General features: G+C 46.3%; 1 protein-coding gene across 32 annotated transcripts in view, besides 3 other annotated features; it reads left to right on the forward strand.

Moving 5' to 3' along the window:
• BANP (BTG3 associated nuclear protein) overlaps positions 1 to 20,311 on the forward strand; it is a 128,081-nt gene that overhangs the window by 16,864 nt on the left and 90,906 nt on the right. For 17 of the 32 annotated variants that reach the window (NM_001384925.1, NM_001384918.1, NM_001384916.1 and 14 more), the window contains 3 exons: positions 8,947 to 9,084; positions 14,935 to 15,026; positions 17,959 to 18,158. In NM_001384925.1, the coding sequence (NP_001371854.1) occupies positions 9,015 to 9,084; positions 14,935 to 15,026; positions 17,959 to 18,158 (362 nt within the window). In that variant the 5' untranslated portion in view covers positions 8,947 to 9,014. Of the gene's footprint in view, positions 1 to 3,916; positions 4,070 to 8,946; positions 9,107 to 11,051; positions 11,416 to 14,934; positions 15,027 to 17,958; positions 18,159 to 20,311 lie in introns of those variants that run through there. The other 15 variants (NM_001384931.1, NM_001384936.1, NM_001384928.1 and 12 more) reach the window with 4 other exon arrangements.
• Positions 880 to 1,383: an enhancer, noted in NCBI's record as "H3K27ac-H3K4me1 hESC enhancer chr16:88000587-88001090 (GRCh37/hg19 assembly coordinates)". NCBI's record gives its function as "activates a minimal SCP1, AML or CMV promoter by ChIP-STARR-seq in naive H9 embryonic stem cells {active_cell/tissue: H9 hESC(naive)}" and the evidence as "EXISTENCE:reporter gene assay evidence [ECO:0000049][PMID:30033119]".
• Positions 8,572 to 9,092: an enhancer, noted in NCBI's record as "H3K27ac-H3K4me1 hESC enhancer chr16:88008279-88008799 (GRCh37/hg19 assembly coordinates)". NCBI's record gives its function as "activates a minimal SCP1, AML or CMV promoter by ChIP-STARR-seq in primed H9 embryonic stem cells {active_cell/tissue: H9 hESC(primed)}" and the evidence as "EXISTENCE:reporter gene assay evidence [ECO:0000049][PMID:30033119]".
• Positions 17,018 to 17,610: an enhancer, noted in NCBI's record as "H3K4me1 hESC enhancer chr16:88016725-88017317 (GRCh37/hg19 assembly coordinates)". NCBI's record gives its function as "activates a minimal SCP1, AML or CMV promoter by ChIP-STARR-seq in primed H9 embryonic stem cells {active_cell/tissue: H9 hESC(primed)}" and the evidence as "EXISTENCE:reporter gene assay evidence [ECO:0000049][PMID:30033119]".

The raw sequence follows: 20,311 nt of genomic DNA on the forward strand, positions 1-20,311 counted from the left end.
TGCTATCATATTCTGGAGATCTTTCCATTTTGGTTCATGTAATTAAATCAGTCTCATCCATGTGAATGACTTGGTGGTGTCTGGCAATCTGGATGGGCGTGGATTCTTCACCACTCCTGTTCTGCTGTACATTCAGGGTGTTACTCTGGGCTGTAGGCCCTGCTTTCCCATATGCGCCCTGAGCCCTGCATCTCTTGGTGGACTTGGTAGGGTTCTGAATAGTCGTCAGAGTAAGAGGCTTGCTTGAGCATTAGTCTCAGTCCAGCTGTTTTATTGTATTAAGACTGGACTATCCCCAGGACTTCTGAGAAATGGCAAATTTAATTTGCCAAAATAGCAACCACAGGCATTGCTGTGTTCCAGTTTTCTTGGGCTTGTTGCCCTAGTTTTTTCTATTGAAATCTTTACTGTTAGCAGAATTTTAAATGACTCTTGATCCTGGCAACAGAGGCATTTTGAGTAAACAACTCGAATAATGTGTGGTGTCCTCATTTGGAAGAGGTTAGGATTCAGGATTTTATGGTGAGTTCAGAGCATTTTCTGAAGCCACTTGCAGAGCTTTTAGAAACTAGCAAAAAGCTTGAATTGGGCATTTAAAACTATTTCCACTGGCCCCTTAAGAGAGGCAGGAGTTTAACCTGGACTCTCTGGACCCGGGGCTGTTTGTGGAAGGGCCTCGGCATGTCCTTGGGTTTAGTCTGGCTGCACGTGGTGGGCTCCAGAATACCCTGTTTTGAACCAGGTAGTTGTTTATTTTCCTTTGCTTTGAGGAAGTCTGAGGCAGGCAGCCTGGGCTGGTGTGGCAGCTCCCTGGACGGGAGGGGCCTGGGCTCCTTCCTTCCAGGGCTTTGCTCCTCCGCGCCAGCTCCTTCTGCCTCCTTCCACGCCTGGCACCAGCGGGAGGAGGAGCACGGAAGAAGGGACAAGGCCAGAGGCCAGGGCCCCTGAAGGAGGTTTCCCAGGGGGCTGCTGTGGGACAGGCTGGGAAGGGAAGTCCGTGTCTGATGCCCCGCACCCACAGCTGTCGTGGGCTCTTCCGTGAGCTCTGGGGAGAGCAGGTACTGGCACCGGCAGCTAGGACTCTCTGGGATTAGGGGAGCCTCAGAAACTTTGCAAAGTTTTGTCTGTCTGTACTTTTTCCTGGAAAAGGTTCTTTTTTTTTTTTTTTTTTTTTTTTTTGTATTTTTAGTAGAGACGGGGTTTCACCCTGTTAGCCAGGCCGCTCTCCAACTCTGACCTCAGGTGATCCACCCACCTTCTCCTCCCGAAGTGCTGGGATTACAAATGTGAGCCACCACACTCGGCCGTCAATAATAATTTAATTGTACATTTTATTTTATTTTATTGTTTTTTGGTTTTTGATTTGTTTTTTTGAGACGGATCTCGCTCTGTCACTGAGGCTGGAGTGTAGTGGCACTATCTCAGCTCACCGCAAACTCTGCCTCCTGGGTGCAAGTGATTCTACTGCCTTGGCCTCCCAAGTAGCTGGGATTACAGGCATGCCCCACCACACCCAGTTAATTTTTTTTTTTTTTTTTGAGATGGAGTCTCACTCTGTCGCCCAGGCTGGAGTGCAGTGGCGCAGTCTTGGCTCATTGCAGCCTCCGCCTCCTGGGTTCAAGTGATTCTGCTGCCTCAGCCTCCCGAGTAGCTGGGAATACAGGGCGTGTGCCACCACGCCCTGCTAATTTTTGTATTTTTAGTAGAGACGGCGTTTCACCATGTTGGTTAGGCTGGTCTCGAACTCTCGACCTCATGATCTGCCCGCCTTGGCCCCCCAAAGTGCTGGGATTACAGGTGTGAGCCACCGTGCCTGGCCTTTTTTTGGTATTTTTAGTAAGACAGGTTCACCGTGTTGGTCAGGCTGGTCTCGAACTCCCGACCTCAGGTGATCCACCCGCCTTGGCCTCCCAAAGTGCTGGGATTACAGGCGTGAGCCACCACGCCTGGCCAGAAAAGGTTCTACAGGTTTTTTTGCCTTTTTTTTTTTAAAGGTTCTGAAAGCAATCTGTGACCCCAAAACGTTTTAAATGCACCAATGCCAAGGTTGGCTGGGTGGCTTTTGACTGAAGACTACTGGTTTCATTAGGAAATTTAGTTGGCTGGGTGCAGTGGCTCACCCCTATAATCCCAGCACTTTGGGAGACCGAGGTGGGTGGATCACCTGAGGCCGGGAGTTCGAGACCAGCCTGACCCAACATGGTGAAACCCCATCTCTACTAAAAATACAAAATTAGCCGGGCATGGTGGTGTGCACCTGTAGTCTTAGCTACTCAGGAGACTGAGGCAGGAGGATCACTTGAACCCAGGAGGCAGAGGTTGCGGTGAGCTGAGATCGTGCCATTGCACTCCAGCCTGGGCAACAAGAGTGAAACTCTGTCTCAAAAAAAAAAAAAATAAGTTTAGTTTATCCCTTTAATAATCTTTGCTTCTGGTTCTTACTCTGGAAAAAAGAAGGCTGTATTGATGACATGTAGCTTTGATCTTCAAGCTGACTACTGACGACTCTGAGCTGAAAGATCCTCTTCAGAGGACGCAGGTTTAGTGTCACCACATAAGTTTCATGCTAGTTGCGCCTGACAGGGCCCCTCAGTCAGGCTATGTGGTTTCTGCTTCCCTGGAGCAGCTCCGAAGGCTGAGCAAGATCCCAGTGTTGATCCTAGCACCAGTGTTTGAAGAACATGAGCGTGCGTAGGTGGAGTTGGAATGGACCCTCCCCCCACAGCTTAGATCTGCATATTTTCCTGTCCGATCATTTTTTAAAAGTATACTTCTTTTTCTTTTTGAAAAAGTGATAAATGCACAGGATAAAAATGGAAATATTATTAGAGGATGAAAAGTGAAAAATAATTTCCTTTTCACCCATGCCCCAGGCTGTTGTAGGTCTTCTGTATCTTAACCTGGAAATATTCTGTGCATATCTGACATACTTCTTAAAAATAAAGCATGTCGTCTGCACTGCCCTCGTCCACACTGCCCTGCCCAGTTGATATTCACGGGATCCTGCACCTTGGGAGCCGCTTTTCGGGGGCTCTTGTTGACTCCTGAAGCTGCGTGGTATATTCCATTCTTAGCTATGCAATGCTGACATCCATTCTTTTGCTGCTAAAAACAATGCCTTACGTTGTTTTGTTGTTGTTGTTGTTGTTGTTGTTGTTTGTATGTAGGTCTTTGCACACATATGTGAATGTCTGTGCTGGCTGAATGTTGTGTGGGGCATGGCCAGGTTAAGGGCTGTGGCCATTTAGCATTTTGATAGCTATTGCCCTTCAAAGAGGTTGTACCCATTTACACCCCCAGCAAAAGCGCAACAGCCATGTTTTCTGATATCTTCTGGCGAAGTGTGTCATATTTTGTGATTTTTGCCAATCTGATTGGTGAAAAATGTTGTCTTGTTTAAATTGTTTTAAAAAGATTACACATCGAGATTGACTTTTTTTTTTTTTTTTGAGACAGAGTCTCCCCCTGTCACCCAGTGTGGAGTGCAATGGCGTGATCTCAGCTCACTGCAACCTCTGCCTCCCCATTTCAAGCGATTCTCCTGCCTCAGCCTCCTCAGTAGCTGGGATTACAGGCACGCGCCGCCATCCCCGTCTAATTTTTTGTATCTTTAGTAGAGACGGGCTTTCACCATGTTGGCTAGGCTGGTCTCGAACACCTGACCTCTTGATCCACCCACCTTAGCCTCCCAAAGTGCTGGATTACAGGCATGAGCCACCACGCCTGGCCTGACTATCTTTACATAACTTGTTTTTCTGTGAATTCATTTTCATTTCCTTATGCTCATTTTTGATTAGGTTGATTGGTCTTTTTTTTTTTTTTTTTTGACAGAGTCTTGCTCTGTCACTCAGGCTGGAGTGCAGTGGCACGGTCTCAGTTCACTGCAACCTCCGCCTCCCGGGTTTAAGCGATTCTCCTTTCTCAGCCTCCTTAGTAGCTGGGATTACAGGCATGTGCCACCATACCCTGCTAATTTTCGTATTTTTAGTAGAGATGGGGTTTTGCCACATTGGCCAGGCTGACAGGTGATCCACCCGCCTTGGCCTTCCAAAGTGCTGGGATGACAGATGTGAGTTTCCTAGTCTTGATTTTGATTTTCCTATTTGCATTTCTGTGGTATAGTTTAGCATGTTCTTCTGGCCTCTGTATATCCTGTCACTTAGGAAATGTTAGGATTCTAGAAGCTTAATTAGATTCAGCATTTTTGTTTGTTCGGTAGGGGAGCCTCCCACATAGATGGTGCTGAATTCTTCATTAATGAGGCAGATAGTGTGTGTTTTTCTTTTTCTGATGGTAACTCTGTTACCTAGATTCTTAATTCATCAGGGATTGCAAAACGATGACTGTTCTTTTGTTAGAATGCTTTTATACAGAGAAACATTCTATTGCTTATGATGTGGTTTTTCAGTGACGTGATTTGTATAGAAAGGCAGAATAAATGCTTGATTTTTTCTTTTTATTACCATTAAACAAATTAAAGGCTTAATAATATTATTAACTCATGAATTTAAAAATATTTCCCTTTCAACCCAGTGAAGTTGTTACCGTTGTTGATAGTCTGCTTTTCTTGTTCACAAGGGCATCAGGGATGACAGAATTGCACACAAGGCAAGGCGTCCTCAGACAGAACTCTACCGGCCGGGCGCGGTGGCTCGGCCTGTCATCCCAGCACTTTGGGAGGCTGAGGTGGGCGAATCACCTGAGGTCGGGAGTTTGAGACCAGCCTGGCCACAGAGGGAAACCCCGTCTCTACTAAAATACAAAAAGTAGCCAGGTGTGCTGGTGGGCACCTATAATCACAGCTACTCGGGAGGCTGAGGCTGGAGAATCGCTTGAACCCAGGAGGCGGAGGTTTCAGTGAGCCGAGATCCTGCCACTGCACTCTGGCCTGGGCAACAGAGTGAGACTGCATCTCAAAAAAAAAAAAAAGAACTCTACCACTTCTTACCGCCACTGAATGAACATTGTAACATTTGTTTTTGTTAGTTTTTGAAAATTGCTCAGAAAGAACTCTACCACTCCTTATAGCCATTGAACATTGTGAACATTGTAACATTGGTTTTTGTTTTTGAAAGTTGTTACATTTGTTTTTTATATGTACTCCCAATTCCTCCCAGTTTCAAGCAGTTACATTGTGTCTGCGTTTAGCACATAGCCTTCATCTCCTCTGTCTCAGTCCTGCGTGGAGATAGGGTGCTCCGCTAGCCGCTCTTCCCAATGCCTCTCCAGTGGTTTGGTTTTCCGAAGCTTGTTTGTTGCCAGTGCCTTCAGGAGGGAATTTTTGGGAATACTGTTCTCTGAGGACTGGATGCTGCCTTTATACTTGAAAGTAATTTTGTCTGGATATAAAATTCTTGGCTCACATATCTTTCCTTGTGTGTCTTAAATACGTTAATCCTTTTTTTTTTCTGTTGGAGTTTGATAGTTAATTTTCTTTCCGTTATAAGTCACCTAGTCTTTTGCTTGGATGGCTAAAAAATTTTTCTTTAAATAGTGTTTTTATTGGGCTGTATCTTGGTGTTCTGTCTTGGTGTTGTATCTTGGTGTTGTGTCTTGGTGTTGGTGGTTTTGTTTTTGTTTTTTTCCCCCTAGGTTGTAGTGTATTATTTTAACGAGTAGTTTCAAGCACCCTCCGTCCTGTTTTCTGGAGAGCTTTCTTGAATTACAGTTTTTGGTATTCCATTTCATTGCTTTAGTTTTCCTTTTTTCGAGACAGGGTCTCGTTCTGTTGTCCAGGGTGGAGTGTAGTGGTGCGATCACAGCTTGCCACAGCCTTGCCCTCCCAGACTCAAGTGATTTTCCCACCTCAGCCTCCTGAGTAGCAGGGACCACAGGCAGGTGCCACTGTACCCAGTTAATTTAAAAAATATTTTATGGAGTCGGGGTCTCGGTACATGCCCAGGCTGCTCTTGAGCTATCAACCTCAAATGGTCCTCCTGCCTTAGCCTCCCAAAGTATTGGGATTACAGGCATGAGCCACTGTGCCTGGCCAGTTTTCATCTTTAGCATCTCCTATTATACATATGTTGGGTCTTCTTTTCCTGTCTTATGTGCTACTTTTTCTTGAGCTTTTTTCATCTCTTTCATTTCTTTTTTATTCTTGAAAATTTTGTCATTTTATTTTTCTTAAGGCACCATTGTGTTTATTTGTTCTAAGGTTCTTCTAGTTTAATCTTCATTTCTGAAGTTACTTTTTCTTTTGTTTCTAATATATTCTGAGTTCTAGCACCTTGTTTCTGAGTTTTTCTAATGCTGGTTTCTGGTTAATGTGTGTTATGTGTTTAATGTATTTCAGTTTGTTTTGAATTATCAGGGTATAGTTTTTTTTTTCTTTTTAGTTTTCGTCTTTTTGGGGGATATATGTTTCTAGAATGTTTTCATTGTCTGCAGTGATGTTATTTTGCTTCTTATTCTTTTAAGAAATACATGATTTTTGCATGATATTTGGCCTCAGTAGTTTCTGTTGCTCATTTTTATATGATTTTTGCTTTTCTGAATGCTCAGAAGGGAGGCTTGGTTTAGAATCGTTTCTCTAATTTCAGTGTTTTGGGTTCTTTCCTGTGTTGTTTATAGGAAGTTTTAAAAATACAGCAGCTTCTTTTCTCAGCTCTCTAGGCTCTGTTCTCCCCTCCCACCTTTAATGAGCTTTCATGTTCCTTTGTCTCTAGTTTCCGTGCCCTGCACATTTTGTGTTCAGTTCCAAGCCGTTTCTTTTCAATGTATTTGGCCTAAAAGGGAGCTTTGGATAATGCGTTTTGAGAGGGCTTGGGGTCCAGAACACTCTGGCCTCTGGGTCAGCCCTGCAGGCCCCTGTGTGGTTCTCCTGGTGGATCCTGCAGCTGCTGCTCTCGGCCTGGCTCCTGCTTCCCTTTGCTTCCTCCATCCTATGCCCGTGTGCCATGCTGACCTTGTGGCTTCCAGTGTCCCCATCTGCTTGTGTTTGGGGTTCTTGAGGAATATGCTGTCACCTCGTTCTGTTGTCGGTGTTGACTTGGATTTTGGTTTTGCTATCCTTGGAGGTCTGTGTGTCTGTATGGGAGGATTTAGGGAGATTAAACATCTGTCTCATTCCGTCTTTCCCAGCTGGACTTTTTAGAGGTTCAGCGCTGGTGCCTCTGAGGCTTTGTGTCTCCCCCTCCAGTTATTTGTCATCAGCTCTTTTTTTTTTGTTAGGGACAGTTGATTGATGTTTCCTCAGTTCATCTAATCTTGTGTAAAGTTATAATGTGGGAATAAAAACACCTTTGCTATTTTATTGATCGTATATTTGATCACACATTTATGAAAAATATTGCCTTTACTCTATAAAGGAAGATTTAAGACAGCACTTGGCTCCTTCTTCCACAAATTGTTATCCCCAAGAAATTCTAGAGCTGAGGCCGGGCGCGGTGGCTCACGCCTGTAATCCCAGCACCTTGGGAGGCCGAGGCATGCGGATCACCTGAGGTCGGGAGTTCAAGACCAACCCGACCAACGTGGAGAAACCCCGTCTTACTAAAAATAGAAAATTAGCTGGGTGTGGTGGCGCATGCCTGTAATCCCAGCTACTCAGGAAGCTGAGGCAGGAAAATTGCTTGAACCCAGGAGGTGGAGGTAAGCCGAGATTGCGCCATTGCATTCCAGCCTGGGCAACAGGAGCAAAACTCCATCACAAAAAAAAAAAAAAAAAAAAAGAAAAAAGAAAAAAATTCTAGAGTTGCCATTTAAGCTGTAAAATTTAAATCTAGACAAAGGAGAGGAGGAACTGCATTATTTATTGGATTGAAGGACACGGGTGAGGCCTGCTTATGTAATTTCATTCCTGTTGGGACTTATCCATGAATAGAAGTTGTGAATAGACTCAAGAGTTGAAACCATGTGACCTGAAAACCTTACTTTTCCTTCTGCGATGGGGGTTGTGGTTAGGGACAGTGAACGGACTCTTCCTGATGAAGGGCTGTGCTGTACAGAGCTGGGCACAGGGTTTCTGTCCTCAGGAAGTGTGTAGTGTAGTTCAGGGAAGACAGTTTACTTTATACCATTTATGTGTCAATAATTAAAATATAAAGTATAATCTGATAAAAACATGATGGTCACATTCATTCCTCATTTCTACGGCATCCTATTTTGCAGTACTATATTTGGATCTGTGTGTCCATAGACCATAGTTTGAATGATGCAGCCTTATTTTTACTTTGGAAAATAAGTTCTCTTGAAGCCCAATCAGAGTGTCACAGGAGCTGGAGGAAAGCCCCTGACTGTGTTTCAGACACTGTGCGAGGCTCGGGGACAGCCCCGCCCTGGACAGCACAGTTGTGGACAGGACAGATGGTTCCTCCTTGGTCATGGTGGCAGGATGCTGCTCGGGCTCAGGACAGAACCTGAGAGCAGAAAGAAAGCAGAACAGAGGTGCTGCCACTCCGCCGGGCCTGTGGGGTAGCAGAAACGGAGTATGGGTTGTAGTCTAGATGGATGCGTGCAGCTGGGAGAAACTTGGGAGGAGAGGTGGCGTATCACCACGGAGACCAGTGGTATGGGTGGGAAGGGATGCTTCTTTCTGGGGTGTGGTGAGTGTAGCAGGGCTGAGGCCCCTTGGGAGCAGGAAGCGACAGAGCGTTTGCTGTAGTCAGTCAGGCCCCACTGGAGACTTGGGCTGAGGGAGAGGACGTTTCCAAGCCAGTGTTGGGAAGGTGGCTTTGGAAGGGCATGAGGAACACAGTGGAAACGGAGAGGCCCCGGGTGGCTCGTCCAGTGGTTAAGGAAAGAGGCAGCGGGTGGCGTTTTCAACTATTTGTTAATTTTCAAAGAAACTAACCTTTTGGGGGTTTGAGGCAAGAAGAACCCTGCATGTAAAACTCCACAGACGTTCGCGGCCTCTTGCATACACGTGCTCGGCTCGTGGTTTTCATAATTTCACGTGTAGCGATGGTTAATGTCCTCTCCTCCTCCTTTGCTTCTGTTTGGTAGGTGACCAAAAGCCAGCCCCACTGTGAGTTGAACTCTTTCGTGTTGACCGGCCACTCTCCGTGCTCTGGATGATGTCGGAACACGACCTGGCCGATGTGGTTCAGATTGCAGTGGAAGACCTGAGCCCTGACCACCCAGGTACAGAGCTGTGGGACAGTAGGTGAAATATTATTCTCTTTATTCTTCAAAAACCAAAAGCTGCTCCAGTTATTTTCTTTCCTTTAAGCAGAAGAAAAAGTAATGCATGCTGCGTATGAAAAGTTTGAATCCTAGAGATGTGAACACTGTCGGCCCCTCCCTTCCCTCGCCCCTGCAGCCTCAGCCCCACGTCCCTTCTGGAGGGGGCCCCTGTGACACTTTGTCTCGAGGGCCATCCCTGCTCCCACTCCTTGGGGGTATGCGTGTGTTCTACACTCTCTCCCCTGCCGCGTCCCTGTGTGCGGCGTCGTGGATCTTTACCATGTTGTATGTGTAATCCCCTGTGTGCGGCGTCATGGAACCTTACCATGTTGTGTGTGTAATCCCATGTGCGGCGTCATGGAACCTTACCATGTTGTGTGTGTAATCCCCTGTGTGCGGCGTCCAGGATCCTTACCATGTTGTGTGTGTAATCCCCTGTGTGTGGCGTCATGGAACCTTACCATGTGGTGTGTGTAATCCCCTGTGCGTGGCGTCATGGAACCTTCCCATGTTGTGTGTGTAATCCCCTGTGCGTGGTGTCATGGAACCTTACCATGTTGTGTGTGTAATCCCCTGTGTGCGGCGTCATGGAACCTTATCATGTTGTGTGTGTAATCCCCTGTGTGTGGCGTCATGGAACCTTACCATGTGGTGTGTGTAATCCCCTGTGTGTGGTGTCATGGAACCTTACCATGTGGTGTGTGTAATCCCCTGTGTGTGGTGTCATGGAACCTTACCATGTGGTGTGTGTAATCCCCTGTGTGTGGTGTCATGGAACCTTACCATGTTGTGTGTGTAAGTCTGCTCTGTTAGCAGCTCTGCAGGATTCATTCACAGGTGCCCCCTCCACAGTTGACTCTTCTCTTTCAGAGGGCTCCTGGCATAGTCTGTCTGATTTTTCCTTTATACACAACCCTATAGAGAAGATCCTTGCATATATATCTTGGCAAATAGATAAGTTCCTAGAAGTAGAATTGCTACATGTGTTTAAATTTTTTTAAGACGGTGACAGGTTTTCTAGAAATGTTTTACTAATTCTTCCACGGACAGTGCTTGAGAACAAGTTTTTTCTACACCTTTGCTAAGGCTGGTATCTTTTAAAAATGGTGTTAAAGGCACATGTCTACTTTGAAATCATAACTGTTTGTTTGTTTAAAGGAGACCCTTGAGAAATGAAACCCTAAATTTCAGGAACTTCATCTCTTCATCTGTGATAACACTTTGTCCACACTTATTGTTTTAAAAAGTTTTTTTTTTTTTTTGGCCATAAAGTAGTATATGTTTTATTGTTCTGTTAAGTTTGAAGTGACCAGCCCACCACAGTTAAGTCACTGAGTGTTTCAGTTGCCTGGTTATTCTTTCAGGAATGTTTGAATTGAAATGCTCACAATTTATTCCCCCAGAAGAGAGAATTTTCAGAAATCTCCTAAGAAAGTCTGATGTCCGTTCATATGATCTGTTTGCTTTGTTAGTCGAGAAAACTACCTTTGGAGACTAGTTGTATCATGGAAGGGGAGGGCAGTAGAAATAGTTTTGGGGTGAGGTGAGCAGTCCCAGGGGAACACGAAGGCAGCATTTCAGGAGTGCTGCTGGTTAGTTTTCCACACCATCATTGCATATTATTTTACAAATCCCTGTTTCTAGTTCAGAAGGCAAATGACAGTTTCTTTAGAAAACATAACACTGTAATCTTGTAAAATGAAAGTGTTCCAGTTACATCATTTTTGGTGATTTCAGAACCATTAAAGTTCTGACAGCCTACTTCCCCAGTAAATCTCTCTTTGTAGACTGTGGTCCAAAGAAGGCTTAGAGAAATAATTTTGAATCTTGATTTTGTTCCAACTCTGTTCCTTAAATGCCTAAGAACTGCGATTTCTTGAGTATTTGTTAAAAGCCTACTGTGTCAGCCAGGCATGGTGGCTCATGCCTGTAATCCCAGCACCTTGGGAGGCTGAGGCGGGCGGATCACGATGTCAGGAGATTGAGACCATCCTGGCAAACACGGTGAAGTCTCTACTTAAAATACAAAAAAATACAAAAAATTAGCCGGGCGTGGTGGCGGGCGCCTGTAGTCCCAGCTGCTCAGGAGGCTGAGGCAGGAGAATGGCGTGAACCCGGGAGGCGGAGCTTGCAGTGAGCTGAGATCGCGCCACTGCACTCCAGGCTGGGCGACAGAGCGAGACTCCGTCTCAAAAAAAAAAACAAAACCTACTGTGCACAGAGCTCCGAGGCCTGCCCCAGTACAAAGCCTGCAGTCTCTGACCCAGGAGAAGGTGTGCGCAGCTGCAGGTACCTTGATGTGTCAAGCACATTTGCATTCATAGTGGGTTTAAAGTACTTTCCTTGTCTTGAACGTAGGCATCTAATAAAGTTTAACAGGATAGTCAAGAAAGTAGAAGAAATAAAAATTTCCCATAATTCTACTGGTTGTAGCAGCTTTTAAATTGTTGACGTGTATGTCTTTCCAATTTTTCCTTATTTTTATTTAAAAGAAAGACTTCTAGGATCATCTGACTTGGCGTGTACCAACTATGGCTTGCGCTTACTCTACCTGTCTGAATGCAAAAATTGTGACTTGCATCAGGCCTGTCACTGCAGTTGATTGATTGTGATATCTTTATTTATTTAAGACAGAGGTTTGCTCTGTTGCCAGGCTGGAGTGCAGTGGCGTGATCTCAGCTCACTGCAACCTTTGTCTCCTGGATTCAAGCGATTCTCCTGCCTCAGCCTCCCAAGTAGCTGGGATTACAGGTGCCCGCCACCATGCCCGGCTAATTTTTGTATTTTCAGTAGAGACGGGGTTTCACCATGTTGGCCAGGCTGGTCTCGAACTCCTGACCTCAGGTGATCCACTCACCTCGGCCTCCCAAAGTGCTGGGATTATAGGCGTGAGCCACCGCATCCAGCCTGATTGTGATATCTTTAAAATGAACAAGGAGTTCTTTTGTCGAATTCTAAAAGTAATGCATACAGAATTATAGAAAGGAACACATACAAAAAGCAGCAAAGTACAAAGAAGAAAATAAATGTCACTTGCTGTCCCACTACCTGTGGAGTCATTACTGGAGTTACTGCACGCCTCTCTTCTGCTGTTATGACGAAACTAGCTCTGTGACCCCAGAGAAGTCCCATAACCTTCCTGGACTTGTTTTCTTCTCAGCAAACTAAAAGGTTAGAGTAATGAGTACGAGGGTCTCTCTCTGTTCTTCCAGGCCTTGTGTGATGACCGGTTTCCAGTGAGAGTAGAGCCTTTGACTGAGGTCCTGAGAACCTTTGACTAACCACAGGCACTTGTAGGCATGGAGTTTTAAAAGTTTCATTAAGTGAGAATTCATCTGCAAAGGCTTAGGTGGAGATGGTTGATGCGCTCCCTGCCTGTGAGGAGTCATGAGGCCGAAGGCATAGCCGTGTGCTGTACTCAAGGGACACCCGCACCTCAGCCCCTGAGTAGCTGGGACTATCCAGGTTAATAGCTTAAAGTTTTTAACAGTAATACCAGTGTGTGACCAGTGTGTCACAGGTGCTGATAATCAAAACAGTCTCAGCCTTAACACGCTAAGTGATAGAACCCCAACCCTCCCAGGCACAGCTGAGACCAGCTGCCCCCATCACACAGCAAGCGTCAGGTGATCGTCACGGCTTCCCGCAGGATAAGCAACTCGGCCCCAGCTCAGGGCGGCCACAGTGTGGTCCCAACCTCCTTCCTTTTGTCTAAAATTGACTACAAAAACAATGTCAAAGATAACCTCAAAATCAAAGACCAAAATCGGTCGACAGTGGTCCTTGGCTTTGGATGATTTCCCACCAGGTAGATCGGATTTGACTGCTTTTGCCTAGGACCTGTGAGAGGTTCCTGTTAGAACTGCAGGACGATTCAGCATCTTTAAGTTTCAGAGTTTTGAGAGGAATCATCTAGTGTGTACAGGCTTAAAGGCATGGACAGTCTTTTTTGTTTTCCTGTTAAGATCTTCGGAATGTCAATGTATGTAACACGTCTGAGGGGAGTTGCTTTGGTGGAGGTGGAGGCAGGGACCAGAGAGGCCTGTGCACTTGGCTTTCCTCTAGCACCTGGAGAATCTGAATGCCAGCCAGGAGTGCTTCACCCACATCGGTGGGCAGCCTTGTGTGTAAGGTGCTGGGAGGGTGGTCTGCTGTGGGGTGGGTGCTGTGACCTTGTTGGTGTCACAGTATAAACCGGTGTGAGTTGAGGCCCTTCCAGGAACGGCTTCCCGAACTAGGCGGCATTTGAGTGGGGCTGGACAGAAGGTTGTTAGATTTCCCTGGTGGAGGTGGCTGGAGGGTTGGCAGTATGGGAAGGGCTGGGGCACAGCACCAGCAGAGCGGGGCAGGTGTCATCTGGCCACAGTGAGGTCATCCTGCTTGGCTGTGGTGTTGGTGCCCTTGAAAGCAGATGGTGTGCCAAGGTGTGCATGTGCTGAAGGGCATTCCCAGCGGCCAGCATTCAGATTTCTGATTTTTTTCTATCAGAAGTGTTACAATACGCATGCTCATATGTATGCACGTATATAATATCTATTCTTATATACTGGCATTCATTTTTGTAAATAGTCACACACTGGTATTACTGTTAAAAACTTAAACCTATTAACCTGGATAGTCCCAGCTACTTGGGCTGAGGTGGGGGGTCCCTTGAGTACAGGAATTTGAGTCCAGCCTGGGTGACATAGCAAGACCTCATCTCTTAAAAAACAAAAACAAAAACCAAACAAAACGATTAATATTAACCCAGAGTCCATATTTGTTGCTCAGTGAAGAGGAAGGCTGCAGACAAACCTGTTGATGAGGCAGATGGTCTCGCACCTCCCACATGTATGCCGTTTGTTTATCTCAATGTGTGAGCATGTAGAGTAGAGCACGGTAGGAGTGCACTAGACAGTTCACACTGTCATTTCAGGCAAGGAAATGAGAAGAAAAAACACTCATGACACAATGTACAATCTTTAACAAGAACTGTTGACCTTGAACTTCTATCTATAACTGCAAATGTGTAAATTTTAAAAAATTGACTAGGTCTAAGGAAAAGGACTAGAAGGGTCACAGACAGATAGAAATGTGATTTGCAGAGATGAGGCAATTGTGGCCGATTTTGGTCTTTGATTTTGAGGTTATCTTTGACGTTGTTTTTGTAATCAGTTTTAGAGAAAAGGAAGGAGGTTGGGACCACACTGTGGCTGCCCTGAGCTGGGGCCGAGTTGCTTATCCTGCGGGAAGCCGTGACGATCACCTGACGCTTGCTGTGTGATGGGGGCAGCTGGTCTCAGCTGTGCCTGGGAGGGTCGGGGTTCTGTCACTTAGTGTGTTAAGATTGACACTGTTTTGATTATCAGCACCTATGGCAATGTGATATTCAGTGTATTTTTTCCCCTTTTAGTTCTGGACCTGCAGATAGGGTGGCTTTGATTTTGGAATGAGGTGACCAACAGATAAAACTTTATTTTAAAGTTGGGAAGAAATCATTATTATTGATTGGGTTTTATCGTGGGTTTTCTCAAACCAAACAGGGCAGCCCCGCAGAGCATGGAGTCAGAAGTCAGAAGCTTGCAGGTTTGGAGTTAGGACTGACTCAGTGGCACATTAATTGCCCAGTGTCTGGGCTTTTCTTGGGATTAAGGAGTTATCCTGTTTTTCTGCCTGACTGAGAATAAGTTTAAAAAGGTGAAATATGAGATAGGTTCTGCTGTTTCTCCTTCAACCTTAAGGTGTCAGCACTGTTTACTATCTTAATGTTAAAATAATTCTGTAAAACTTTTCATGTTAAACATTTTTTTTCTCTGTCACTGATTTCAGTTGTTTTGGAGAATCATGTAGTGACAGATGAAGACGAACCTGCTTTGAAACGCCAGCGACTAGAAATCAATTGCCAGGATCCATCTATAAAGGTAAAAATCTGACTCTGTTCTGTGGTGTGTAGTGCGTTGCAGATTTCAAGGGCTGCTATAACAAATCACCATCAATGGGATGGCTTCAAAATGTAGCCTCTCAGCTGTGGAGGCCAGAGATCCAAAATCAAGATGCAGGCAGGGTCTCGCTCCCTCCAAAGGTTCTAGAAGGTGGATCCTTCCTGCCTCTTCCAGCTTCTAGTGGCTCCGGCCCTGCCTCAGCTTGTGGGGCTCCTTCCAGCTCTGCCTTCCTCTTCATGTTGCGGCCGCCTCTGTGTGTCTGTGACTGTTTCCCCTTCTCTCCTCTAGTAAGGACTTGTCATTGGATTTAAGGCCCACCCTAATCCAGGTTGATCTCATTGACTAAATTACATCTACACAGACCCAAAGAGTTTCTAAATTACATCTGCACAGTTTCCAAAGAGACCACATGGGTAGGTTCTGGCGGTTAGGATGTGGGTATATCACTTTAGGATGTGGCTATATCACCAGGCAGCCCGCTACAGAAGAGTGTGAGCCATTTTTTCTCTTGAAGAGCACAAAGAGTAAGAATTGTTTACCTTGAGATGCTGCTGAAGGAGGCATCTTCCCACACACCTGCAGGCCCATTTTGGATGGAAGGAAAGTGAAGTTTCTACCAGTGATGAATGACTTCTGTGTCTGCCATTTAAGTCACTTAGATTCTAAAGTTTACTAGATGGGGTTCTTGGGAACTGCTCATTCAGTGAATTATTTTTGGATCTTTGAATTTGCTTGGTTGGTTCCAGTGTTTGCAGAGTCACCGAGGTAAATATCGGCACATGTGAGAAGGTTATGAGAGCAACACAAAACCAAAGTCACTTTTCATATAATTCTTCTACTTACACAGGGTGTCTATTTGGTAATATTTAATTTGTTTTGTTAACAAGGAGAAGCAGTGTAAATGTGTACGAAAAACTTACAAATAAATTGACTGTAAAATGCCTGTTTCCAACCAATGGATAGGATGTGGCTCTGTTAGTAAACACTGCGTTATCATTCCCTAAATAAAACGCAGCTCTGATTTTATCACAGAACACACATCTGTTGCACATAGAACAGAAATGTATAAAGTGGGCACGGGAGTGGCCCTGCCTTCCTCCTTGTCCCACTGTTGAGAAGAGGGTGGGCCCCCGGTTGAATGTGACTTGCGTAGAGTCGTGTGCGTGGCTCTAGGTTGTTTTATTGGTATATAAGAGTGATTTTTCCCAAAACCCCAGGCAGAATCATTTGTAATTCAGAATTAAAATAACATGGGTGTACTGTGTAAAGAATTTGAGAGCCAAACATTTGATGTTCTCCGGTTGTTGAAAATAGCGGCGTTATCAGTGGCCATTCAGGGATTCAGCCACCTATTGTTGCTTTTCACGACGATGCATGTTTGTCATGCCAGGGACCGTGCCTCCTTTGTAGGTAAGCTGATTGAGTGTCATCACGTGGGCTTGAGTCCACCTGACGCCGTGGCTCCTTCCCTCTCTCACACGCGCCTTCAACAGAGAGTAGTCAGTCAGGGAGGGTGAGTTTCAGTTGGTTTCTTTAGCTCCTGTCTATATCAGCGCCCAGTGGTGAATCTTGCCAGGAGAGGTGGTGACCTGAGAAAAGGCGAGTTGTTGGGCAATATGTGGATTTTCCCTCCTGCAGGGCTGTCCCTGCCACTGTGTACGCCAGGTTTCCATGCCAGCTACATGATGTATGATATCACTGCAGTTTTGATATTCTGCAGATTCCCTTGAGATCAGAAAGGAGAGTGGGCATAAGCAGTGTTGTAGGTCAGCTGCAGTTATTGGGAAAGCCGTTCCGGCTCCAATGTGGGCCGGCCTCCCGCTCCCCTGTCAATGTGGGCCGGCCTCCCGCTCCCCTGTGCTGCGAGCTCCACGGCCCGCTCTCAGTGGCTGCCTCAGTGCCACCCCTGCTGTCTCGAGCCTACCTCCCCCTTCCTTCTGATGTGCACACTTTGGACCCCACGCTCTTTAGGTCATGGGCAGGAAAGGAGAGAGAAAAGACGAAACACGAATTCTGTGCTGTTTTCAGCTGTTGATTCTTAAGGCAGGTGCCAGCCTTCCTGAGTACTAAGCAGGGCTGGTGGGCGCTCCCCCAACCTGTCCCTCCCTAGACCTGAAGGAGTGTCCTTCTGTCTGCTGGTGAGACCTGGTGGAGGGTGTCTCTTTTGCACAGTGCAATTCCTGTGTGATTAACACGTTTCCACGTGTGCTCATGGTGGCTCCTGGCTGGGACGGCAGCTGGGGAAATGAAATTCTTCCCTTTCTGGTTTGTGTGTTTCTCTGTTTCTTGGGTTTGGGGTCCGGCACGTGACTGCTCACTGGTTACTTGGAGTTAGGAATCCGGAGGAGACTCAGCCGGAAAGGTCAGACGTGGAGCCCGGCTTTGCCAACCACTAGGTGGCAAGCTTGCCGCTCAAGAGCCCCACGGGAGCCTCAGGACCAAATCCCAAGTCAGGGCCACAGGGGGTCCCGTCACCTTTTCCCATTAGGCAGCGGGCTGTGAGGCGAATGTGCGTGGCCTGTGGCTTTTATGCTGTGTCGATGTTAGGTGTAATCTGTTTTTATTGTTGAGAAGATTTGACTAGTTTTATGTGTAAATTTACTGATTAATAATAACATATTAAAGTACATTTTTAAAATTAAATGGGCTTAACCAAGAATTGCAACTGCACGTAGAAGTGAAACCATGACTAAATCATCACATTTGAAACAGGACGTGTGACTCGTGTGTAAAATGTGGACGTGTTACTCACATGTTTCTGGCTCATAGCTCACGGGCTATTTCCAGTGTGGGGATTGTTCTGTCTGAATAGATAGAGTTGAGATCAGGAAATAGCTGTTTGGTGTTTCTTGGGGTTGTCTTCTTACAGTTCAGGAGACCCTTCCTAAAGCCGGTCTTTTTTCACTTCCAGTCATTCCTGTATTCCATCAACCAGACAATCTGCTTGCGGTTGGATAGCATTGAAGCCAAATTGCAAGCCCTGGAGGCTACTTGTAAATCCTTAGAAGAAAAGCTGGATCTGGTCACGAACAAGCAGCACAGCCCCATCCAGGTCCCCATGGTGGCCGGCTCCCCTCTCGGGGCAACCCAGACGTGCAACAAAGTGCGATGGTAAGAACAGACCAGGGTGCCGGGGCCTTCAGGTCACTTGGGGAGAAGCGCGTCACCTCCTCGCCCAGGCCCGCAGCTTAGTGGCTCAGTTTGCTGGAGATGCGCGGTGTCTGCCTCAGCAGTCTCAGCAGTTTCTAACTAAAGCTGACTTTTAGTTAGACCGAAACCGAACACATGGCATCCTGCCAGGATGACCTGAAGTCATCCTCACGTTTCCTTTCCACATAAAGCCGACCCATGCACCTTTTCTTTGGAACTAACCCACCAGATCTTAGAAAATGTACATGTGCTTCTTTCCTTTTTCCTACTCTACCTGGCTAGTCTTTACATATGTTTTTCTTCGTATGTGGTGTTTATACATTTCACATGAATATATCAAACTTTTCATTCAAGTCTGCAGTTTTTATTTTGCTTATTTTTAAAAAGTAGAGTCTAATGAGTCTAATCTTAGAAAGCTGTGTGGTAGTTTGCAAACTGTTTGAGTAGAACCTTTATGATGTCTTAGAAAGTCTCGGACCTGCTTGGTGTCCACTCATCCGAGGCTTCCTGTCAGATATTCCAGCCGACAGCTCGTGCTGAAGCGCAGGCTCTGGTGTCGCTAGCCTTCCCCACGCCTGGCCAGAAAGAAGTCCTGCTTGAGGCAGTGGACACGGCACGGCTTTGTGCTTGACGAGGGGCCTTTTGACTGAGCGCTACTCACTTCAGGTTCCCTGGCCTGGCTGTAGCCTTCTGCCCGGTGTGTCTGGGAGGAGAGAGAATGGTGGGACGGCAGCGGGGGCGCCGGGGAGGACATGTGGACGCCGAGGAATGGGAGCCGCAACAAGCCTGGAGGGACTGTTGTGACCTCGCTGCCCGTGTGTGCTGGTGGCTGGCGCTGGGTTAGGTGCTTTGTGGGCCTCGCCAGGGGGTGTGGGAAGTCTGGGGGCAGCTCCACATGACGGCTGCTGTGCTGGCCGAAGCAGTGGTGCCTCTTTGAACTCTCGGGCATGCCGGGGCTTTTGGAAACGCTACCCGGCCGTCTTCCGAGCTCCGCTGCTGGTGGTGGAGTTGGCATCTCAGTTCGCAGGCGGGAGCTGGGGATCGTTCACGTGTTACTCTGAGATGGGGCCTTCACCCTGCACAAATGCTGTCACTCACGTGTCTCCCCCCAGCAGGAGTTTGTTTACCGTGTCCTCTGTGCAGGGACGCTGTTGGGCTCCCAGGTCAGGTGTGCAAAGCTGTTAGACCCAATGCCTTTTTTTTTAGGATAGTTTTTTGGGGTAATGTCCTCTTACCCTAAAATGCAGTTCTTAGAAAATATAATTTATGTTTCAAAAAAAAAGAAAATGTAATTTATAACTTATAGTTATTAGACTGTCCTAGCTATAGAGAATGAATGTGATAGTATTGTGTAATAAGACAACACATTTCAACATGATGATGGTTGGCTGTGAAAAAGCCGGACGTCCCACCTGGTATGTTGCGTCCTGGTGACCGGGGGGCAGTCCCTGCAGACGGACCCAGGTGTGACACTGGGAGTTCAGCCCCCAGCTGGTGATAGAATATTACAGAATGGTGAGCAGTTCCTAATGAACTTTCACATAAAGCAAAGTATAATTTTTTCTAGACTTGTAATAGTTGAATTCATGGAAAATTCAAGTCATAGTAAGACTGTGCAAAAATGTTTTGTGTGTAAATGTTGAATAGAGTAAGATTCTGAGTTCAGAGAGTTAGAAGCATGTTTTCCACTCATGAAGCTCTGGTTCATTGTAAGTTATGTGTGTGGAGAGTTTTTGTTGGGTGAGACTGTCTCACTCACTGAAGGACGTCTCAACCTCCCTTACCTCTGCCTGCCAAATTCCAGTACTCTCTGAATCTTGACCACCAAAGATGTCCCACGGGATCTCAAAGCACCCCTGGGCACCTGCATTGAGAACCACTGTTTTAAGGAATTAAACACAAGGATGAACGAACCTCTCCTGTCCCCGGAGCCTTGCGTGCTGGCGGACAGCTGCCCATCACGTGTCACTTGTCACTTGTCACGTTGTGCCAGTGCTGGGCAGGTCATTGTCACCACTTGGGAAAAGCGTTGACAAAATTGGTCGTTAGATTCCACCGCTGACAATGTGTGATGGGGGGAGAGGTTCCTCTGTGAAGAACTCCAAAGGCTGGAG

This window comes from Homo sapiens, chromosome 16 (genome assembly GCF_000001405.40).
Source record: "Homo sapiens chromosome 16, GRCh38.p14 Primary Assembly".
NCBI classification, from domain to species: Eukaryota; Metazoa; Chordata; class Mammalia; order Primates; family Hominidae; genus Homo; species Homo sapiens.